General features: G+C 47.0%; 1 protein-coding gene across 5 annotated transcripts in view; it reads left to right on the top strand.

Annotated features, from left to right (window-relative positions):
* Nucleotides 75-9,153, top strand: part of CYB5RL (cytochrome b5 reductase like) — a 30,380-nt gene continuing 21,301 nt past the window's right edge. For all 5 annotated transcript variants that reach the window (NR_148414.2, NM_001353353.2, NM_001353354.2 and 2 more), the window contains exons 1-3: nt 75-129; nt 3,614-3,736; nt 4,390-4,686. Coding sequence is in view for 3 of the 5 variants with exons in the window: in NM_001353353.2 (NP_001340282.1) it covers nt 4,489-4,686 (198 nt within the window). In the remaining 2 variants the exon portion in view is untranslated. The remainder of the gene's footprint in view (nt 130-3,613; nt 3,737-4,389; nt 4,687-9,153) is intronic.

The following is a 9,153-nucleotide window of genomic DNA, read 5'->3' as shown; positions in this document are numbered from 1 at the left end:
CTTGTCTTGCACCGGCCCCCAACCCATTCTCATTTTCTTATAGGTGATACCTGCTAAGCGCTCCCCGCCTACCCAGAGACTGGGAGGAACCTGGAAAATCCTCACGTGAGGTGAAGCGCAGGCGAGTAGGTGAGTGGTCGTGGTGGGTGGAGAATCGCTCCAGGACTTCAGACCTGGACTTAGACAAGGTTGACTGCTTATGAGCAGTTGGAGCTTGGGAAGGCACTTCCCTTTCTGAGGCCCAGTGTCCCTCGCTGTAAAAATAGGGATAGAAATGCCTAAGCTGTTGCACCTGTACAGCGCGCTGCTGCGAGCGCCTCTGTCGCTCTGTCCCTCTCCTGAGCGTGAGAGTGTCCCCCAAGCCAGCTCTGAGCGTGACTGCTCACTGTACACCTCTTCCCCAGCGCCAAAAGCGAGCCACTTTCCTCGCTTTTCCTTTCCCTCTGGATTTCCCAATTCGCCTCCTAGAAGCAAGGACAGAGCAATGAAGATGCGCCTTTGCTCCTTGCTCAACACCTGTCTGTCAGCTGCCTGCTGTGTGTCAGGCGCTGCGCTGAGCCCCGGTTGGCATTGGTAAATAAGACAGATGGGAGATGTAGAGCTTACAGTTTAGTGGGAGATGCAGACAGAACGCAGGTAAACAACGCGAACAAATAAGTCAACTGCGATACACACACTTCCTATCCCTTTTCCGTAGTTATTTTTCTCTTTAGCATTTCACACTACCGTACCATCTGTTTTCCATCCTGATCTTGCTTAATAACTGTTTCTCACCCTAAGATATGAGCTCAGTGAGTGCAAGGGTTTCTGTTTCTTCACTGCTATATCCCCAGCACTGAGAACAGTGCCTGGCACATAGTAAATATGTTTAGTGAATGCGTGTATAACAGAAACAAATAGAGTGCCTTATAGAGAATGAGTAGGGGAAGGTTCAGGGAGGACCTCAGAAGGGAGGTGACCTTTAAAACCAAGGCCTGCGGGGTGGGAAAAGTCATCCAGCCTGAGGCAACATGTGTCAAGGCCTGGATTAAAGGTGGTGCCTCTTGAACTGAAAAGATAGAGCTCAGAGGACGCATGAACCAACTCTTTAAAATTCATGACTGACGTGGCCAACTTTTCTGCTAATTTCCAAAATAGCAGAGAAAGTGGGACTGTTAAAACGTGGAGAAGTCCTACAGTCATCGTTCACACCTGTAATCCCAACACTTTGGGAGACCTAGGTGGGAGGGGCCACTTGAGGCCAGGAGTTTGAGATCAGCCTGGGCAACATGGTGAGACCTCCTCTCTAAAAATAATAAAAAAAAAATTAGCGAGGCGTGATGGCACGCACCTATAGATCTAGGTACTCAGGAGGCTGAGATGGGAGGATCACTTGGGCCTCGGAGATCGAGTCTGCAGTGAGCTGTGATCCTACCACTGCACTCCAACCTGGGCAACACAGCAAGACCCTGTCTCAAAAAAAAAAAAAAAAAAAGGCCGGGCATGGTGGCTCACGCCTATAATCCCAGCACTTTGGGAGGCCGAGGCAGGTGGATCACGAGGTCAGGAGATCAGACCATCCTGGCTAACACAGTGAAACCCCGTCTCTACTAAAAATACAAAAAATTAGCTGGGCGTGGTGGCGGGCGCCTGTAGTCCCAGCTACTCGGGAGGCTGAGGCAAGAGAATGATGTGAACCCGGGAGGCAGAGCTGGCAGTGAGCTGAGATTGCGCCACTGCACTCCAGCCTGGGCAACAGAGCGAGACTCTTGTCTCAAAAAAAAAAAAAAGAAAGAAAGAAAAGAAATCAGCATAAAGAGGGAACCAGACCTCATTCACTCATAATGCATACCTGGTCCATAGCATGCAATAAAAATGAATTGGGTTGATCTAACACCTTGTAGTCTATGAGGCTCTGTGAAGGTAGGAACAATGACCTGTTTACCTCTGTTGCCTCCCAACACCTAGCTCCCAGATTGTATCTGTAAACTGAATGAGCAGTCATAGGGAACCTTCCATATGCCCGGCTGTGCTTGGTGGTAGAATACAGAAAGAATAAGATACCACCCTTTTTTTTTTTTTTTTTTTTTTTTTTTTTGAGACAGAGTCTCACTCTGTCACCCAGGCTGGAGTGCAGTGGCGCAATCTCAGCTCACTGCAGCCTCCGCCTCCTGGGTTCACGCCATTCTCCTGCCTCAGCCTCCCGAGTAGCTGGGACTACGGGTGCCCACCACCATGCCCGGCTAATTTTTTTGTTTTTGTATTTTTAGCAGAGACGGGGTTTCACCGTGTTAGCCAGGATGGTCTTGATCTCCTGACCTCGTGATCCACCCACCTTGGCCTCCCAAAGTGCTGGGATTACAGGAATGAGCCACCGCACCCAGCCAAGGCAGAGGAGATTCTTAAATTTAGGAAAGGGGCCAGATTGTCCCTAACAACTGAGAGTGAGAAAACCCTAGCCAGTCAAACAGCCTCACTGAAGTCGGATTAGCATATATGCTACATGTAGACGTAGGTAGCAAGAGGAAAACAAACTCACATCTGACTCATCAGCAAGCCAGCCATTGTGAACATGCATAGATGCCCTTCACAGAGGTCCCCACAGGAGGACCTGTCTCTACTCAAAATATAAAACCTAGCCGGGCATTGTGTTGGGCGCCTGTTTTCCCAGCTACTTGGGTGGCTGAAGCAGGAGAATCACTTGAGCCCAGGAGGCAGAGGTTGCAGTGAGTCAAGATCATGCTACTGTACTCCAACCTGGCAACCTGGGCAACAGAGTGAGACTCTGTCTCAAAAAAAAAAAAAAAAGAAAAGAAAAGAAAAAGAAAAGTGTTTATGAGCAGCTTTTATGAGCAGGGATGGACCAAGTGCATGGAGTGCTCACAGGAGGGAGTGAAGCCAGGCAGGCCTTCACCTGCACCTGTTTTTCTCTCTTCACTGTCCCTCCATCTCCAGACTCATATCTAGACTTGTTTAATCCAACTCACAACTGGATTTTGTACTTGGATGCTCCACAGGCACTCAGCATACCTGAAACCAAACTCTCTTCTTCTTTCCCTTAAAACTCAACTTCTTCTTGAGCCTTCTGTCTACCCAAAACCCAAGCCAGATCCGAGGGGTTGGATGTCCCTTCTACCCCTCTGTCCCCCCACACTCCCTCACATCTAGTCAGTCTCAGTGTTCTGTTAATTTCCTCTTCAGTATTTCTCTCATTGACCCCTGTCTTCTCATTCTGCCTGAAGCTGCAGGTCTCAGTCCTCATATCATCTCACCTGGACCATCACAACCTTCTTCTGTTTCCTGTGATTGAAGAACGATATGTTTTGAAACCAGACATGCCAGAGTTAAAACCCTGGTTGCCACCATTTTAGAAGCTGTATGAAACTCTGGGCAAAGCTGAACTGTAGTGGTTAGGATTGCAAACAAAGGTGGCAAAACTAGGGGAAAAAGGAAATAATTATCACCTGGGGAAGTGCAGTTATCAGGAAGGGACACAGGTGGCTTCTGGAATGCTGGCAAGATTCTTTTTACTTGACTGAGTAGTAGTTACACAGGTGTTCTTTTGTATTTTTAATTAATTTTTTGTAATTGAGTTGTAGGTATATATTTTACTTTATCATTTAAAACATTTTAGGGCCAGACATGGTGGCTCATGCCTGTAATCTCAGCACTTTGGGAGACTGAGATGAGAAGATCACTTGAGGCCAGGAGTTCGAGACCAGACTGGCAACATAGTGAGACCCTGTCTCTACAAAATGTAAGTAAAAAAAATTAGCCAGGTATGGTGGTGCACACCTGTAGTCTCAGCTACTCGGGAGACTGAGGCAGGAGGATTGCTTGAGCCCAGGAGGTTGAGGCTGCAGTGAGCTGTGATCATGCCACTGCTCTCCAGCCTGGGCAACAGAGTGAGACCTCATCTCAGCAAAACAAAACAAAACAAAAAATATCTTTTAAAATTCAATGAGACTTTTCTGTATAAAGTGTCAGCTGGCACTCAGAGCACAGGAACAGATCAGGAAACCTTGGTTACCAGCTCTGATTGTTATGTCCTTTCTTCCATATGCCAAGCTATGCTTGGTGATAGAATACAAAAGGAATAAGACACCCTCCTGTGCTCAAGGGGGTCCCACCCTGCTAAACCTTCCTGAAGTCATAGAGCTTATGAGTAGTAGAACCAGGTTTCCTGAAGCCAAACCCTTTCCTCTAGTAAAGAAAGATTCACTTCACACGAGGGATTGTCCTTCTAAAACCAATGATAGTAAGTGGTTAATGCTCCCCACCAGACAGCACACTCCTTGGCTGATCCATCTCCATCCCCAGTGCTTGCACAGAGCCTGGCACCTGCAGGCTTTGGAGAATGTGAGGAATAGAGGAGACCAGAGAATAACCCCCATGTTTTCCCTCTCCCAGGCTGGCCAAGGAGCAGGGCCTGCGCCCGTGGTCTCATAGAGCCTGGCCTGTTCTGGAAGAGCACCCAGTTGTTCCTTCTAGGCTGCCCAAGCCCCACTGATGATGGCTGAGAGGGAAGAGGACGACGACACTGAGGAAGCCTGGATGCAGCTACGGCCCACAGAACCCTTGCCTTCCCAGTGCTGCGGCAGTGGCTGCTCACCCTGTGTGTTTGACCTCTATCACCGAGATCTGGCAAGGTGGGAGGCAGCCCAAGCCAGCAAGGACAGGAGCCTGCTGCGTGGGCCAGAGTCACAGGTGAGAGAGGCTGCTTCTCGATATGAGCACCAGGGCAACAATCTACTTGCCTTGGCCCTGCAAAGCACACCTCTAGGAAGCCTTCCCTGACTGTACAGCAGAAGAAAAGAGTATGCATAACAGAAGCAAACAGATCTAGGCTCAAAGCCCAGCCCTGAAGCAAACTTATTAGCAGCTGTGTGATTTGAGGCAGAGTTTAAGCCTTAGTTTCCCCATCTGTAAAATGAGGCTCAATGTTTGTGATGTGTAGCACAGAGCTTGACATCCATTTCACTTAACTATATTTATTGAGTACCTATTATATACCAGGCCCTGTGAAATAGTGAGGATTTGAGAGTGAGCATGACAGACACAGTCCTTGTCCTTATGGACTAAACTAGCTATAGTTTATTCTAGGTAAATAAAGGATGTTAGGGCTGATATTTCTTCTTCTCTGGCCCTTACTGACTTCTTCCTCCTTAACTCCTCCGGGACTTCATAGTCTGGACTAAGCAGTTTAGCCCTTTATTGTAATGTTTGGAAGGGTTCACAGTTATAGATGTCAGAACACTGGACTTCACCCCCTGTATAACACAGATAGGGAAACTGAGGACCTATTCCTTCTGACACTGTGCATAGGTTTTGTTTTGAATCTGTCCCTGTCTTGGTCTCCCGCATCTGAACAGTCTTCCCATTTTCTGTGTCCCTCCTGACTAATGTGGAGTAGAGGTGTCTCCCATTTCTACCTCTCTCAATGCCATCTGGCATCGTAATCACTTTTTTTTTTCTTTTTTGTAGAGATGGAATCTTGCTATGTTGCCAGGGCTGGTCTCGAACTCTTGGTCTCAAGTGATCCTCCCGCCTCAGCCTCCCAAAGAGATGGGATTACAGGCGTAAGCCACCTTGCCTGGCCATCATCACTTTTTGACCAACCATTCCCCATTCTTGTGGCTCAAACTAGACCAAAGCTTAGTCATTTTTACACGTGTTGTTCTTAAGCTATAGATCATACATCCTGAACAAATGCAGTTGTTTTTCTTATCTTTTCTTTTCCTTTCTTTTTTTTTTTGAGATGGAGTTTTGCTCTTGTTGCCCAGGCTGGGGTGCAGTGGCGCTATCTTGGTTCACTGCAACCTCCGCCTCCCAGGTTCAAGCGATTCTCCTGCCTCAGCCTTCCAAGTAGCTGGGATTACAGGCATGTGCCACCACACCTGACTAATTTTATGTTTTTAGTACAGATGGGGTTTCACCATGTTGGCCAGGCTGGTCTTGAACTCCTGAACTTAGGTGATCCACCTGCCTCAGCCTCCCAAAGTACTGGGATTAGAGGCGTGAGCCACCACACCTGGCCTTGCAGTTGTTTCTCTGAACCCCAAAACAACATGACATTATTATTATTATTATTATTATCATTATTATTATTATTATTATTATTGAGGAAGAGTCTCACTTATTATTATTATTATTATTGAGGCAGAGTCTCACTCCATCACCCAGGCTGGAGTACAGTGGCATGATCTCAGCTCACTGAAACCTCTGCCTCCCAAGTTCAAGCAATTCTCCTGCCTCAGCCTCCTGAGTACCTGGGATTACAGGCACCTACCACCACGCCCGGCTAATTTTTTTTTGCATTTTTAGCAGAGACAGGGTTTTACCACGTTGGTCTCGAACTCCTGACCTCAACTGATCCACCTGCCTCAGCCTCTCAAAGTAGTGGGATTATAGGTGTGAGCCACTGTACCTGGCCATATTTTTGCTTTTTATAAAGATAGAGATGGGGTCTTGCAATATTGCCCAGGCTGGGCTCAAACTCCTGGGCTTAAGCAAACCTCCCCTCTTGGCCTCCCAAAGTGCTTGCTGGGATTACAGGCATGCATGACTTTATATTTAGTGTCTCCTTGTATTTCTGCCACTGGAAGTTGGTGATGGGGACTAGAGTGCTCTGGCTTCTGCCAGTGACTGGGGAATGTTCGTGACAACCTCTGTTTCTTTCTTCTCACTGCCCTCCATCTCCACATGGCTCACCCCTTCACTTCTTTCTGATCTCTGCCCAAATTTCATTTCTCTTCCTAACTCAGGACTACCAGACACCATCTAGATGTACTCTTATGTGTATATCGTCCATCTTCTTGCCAAAATATCAGTTCTGGAAGAGAAGGGGCCTCTGTCTTTCTCACTGTTCTATCCTCAGCACCTTGAGTAGTTCCTGGCATTACAGTTGGCACTCATTAAATATTTGCAGATGAATGAATGTGTTTCTCCAAGATCTACTAAGTACCATATCCTGTGTGCTAGGCACAAGGAGGTTGGTAATAAAGATGCCAGGGTACCAGTGCTGAAAAAACTCAGCTTACAGAAGGGGGATAAAGAATCACAGGGTTACTTGGCCAGGCACGGTGGCTTATGCCTGTAATCCCAGCACTTTGGGAGGCCAAGGCAGGTGGATCACCTAAGCTCAGGAGTTCAAGACCAGCCTGGCCAACATGGTGAAACCCTGTCTCTACTACAAATATAAAAATTAGCCAGACGTGGTGGCACGCACCTGTAGTCCCAGCTACTTGGGAGGCTGAGGCATGAGAATTGTTTGAACCAGGAGGTGGAGGTTGCATTGAGCCCAAATTGTACCACTGCACTTCAGCCTGGGCGACACAGCAACACTCTGTCTCAAAAAAAAAAAAAGAAACACAGGGTAGTGATAGAAAGACTCACTAAGGAACTGAGGCCCGGTTCTGCCAGTTAATTGTATGATGTTGGGCATGTCATTTTAGTGTGCTAAACCTCAGTTTTCTCATCTGAAAAACTGGGATGTTAATACTTTATAGGTTGTTATGAGAATTTCATGGGATGAATATGTAAAGCACCTGGCACATGGTAGATGCTCAGTAAATAGTAGCTGTCATCACCTATTATAACACTGGAAATTTAAATGATACCACATTTAAAGTTGCAAACAGAGGTCCAGCGTGGTGCCTCACACCTGTAATCCCAGCACTTTGAGAGGCCAAAGTGGGCGGATCACCTGAGGTCAGGAGTTCAAGACCAGCCTGGCCAACATGGTGAAACCACATCACTACTAAAAGTACAAAAATTAGCTGGGTGTGGTGGCACATGTCTGTGATCCCAGTTACCTGGGAGGCTGAGGCACGAGAATCACTTGAATCCGGGAGGCAGAGATTGTAGTGAGCCGAGATCACACCACTGCACTCCAGCCTGGGCAACAGAGCGAGACTCTATCTCAAAAAAAAAAAAAAAAAAAAATTTGCAAACAGATGGATGCAAACAAACACATTTTGTCAGTCCTATAAAATAGCATATTCCAATTTTTTTAACTTTTAATGAAGCAATAATAATAGGAAAAGATTTTACATTTCCATGGTAACTTATATTTTATAAAATGCTTTTTACATTGTATCTCATCTGACCCTCATGGTAACCCTATAAAGTTATCAGGGATGAGTGGCCCTTTTTATAGACTAGGAAACTGAGACCCAGAGGATCAATTGATATGCTGAAGGCCCCACAGGGAGGCAGCAGCTGAGCTGGGGCTAAACCCAGTTCTCCCGACTCCCAGTCCAGTGTTCTTTCCAAAGCACCAGGCAGTTGTGCCAGAGAGTACCCAGGTACTCTGGCTGATGATGAAGAGGTCATCCTGGATGGTGGGTGTGGGAAGGGGCACAGTGGAGACAAGGCCTTGAATGCCAAGCCCAAGAATTTCTGTCAGCTCAGTGATACTGTCAGCACTACCATGGGTAACTGGGGTTCCAGAGTTGGTGCTGCAGGATGGTGCAGGCCCTAAGCTGGGATTGAGGGGTCCCAGGAGTAAATGGAGTATTTTACAGGAAAGAAAGATCTGTGAGTCACAGCATTCAGAGAAGGCTTCCTGGAGGAGATGCAGGTTGGGGTGGAATGTTAAAGGCAGTGGGCTGAGACTTAGACATGAATTTGAATTTTTGTCTACAGTGTGATTGTGGACAAGTAAGCCAGCATGACTCAACTCAGGCCTCAGTTTCCACATATGTAATACACAGATATTGGGTTAGACATTCTGAGGTCCCATCAACTTATAAATTATGCAAATCTGGATTTTAGCAGCTTTGAAGAATGGGTATGTCTTTTACACATTGGAGATGAATGTTCTGGATAAGAGGGCACTGCTTGAGCAAATAAAGACTCAGAAGTAGGAGGCAGCAGGGTGTTCTTGGGAGGACAAAGAAAAGTCTGGCATTAGATGCCTGGGAGATAAAATGAGGCATGAGGGTCGTCCACAGGGCCTTTGAGTGGGCAGCTAAGGAAGGAGCCCGCATTTTACCCTGGAGCTGAGGGGAGCCATGGAAGGCTTAAGAGCAGGATAGGCTCAAAGGAAAGCGCTCTGGCATTCTTAGATCCAATTTTGAAAGGGAAGTAAGGTGAGGCTAGTGTCCAGTTTACAGGAAACTTCCCGAGCCAAGACAGCCTCTCCTTGGGGACAGTGGGAAGGATGCTATGGAT

Source organism: Homo sapiens, chromosome 1, assembly GCF_000001405.40.
Source record: "Homo sapiens chromosome 1, GRCh38.p14 Primary Assembly".
Classification (NCBI taxonomy): Eukaryota; Metazoa; Chordata; class Mammalia; order Primates; family Hominidae; genus Homo; species Homo sapiens.
Note: the sequence above shows the minus strand (reverse complement) of the source record. Positions and strands in the feature narration are given on the sequence as shown.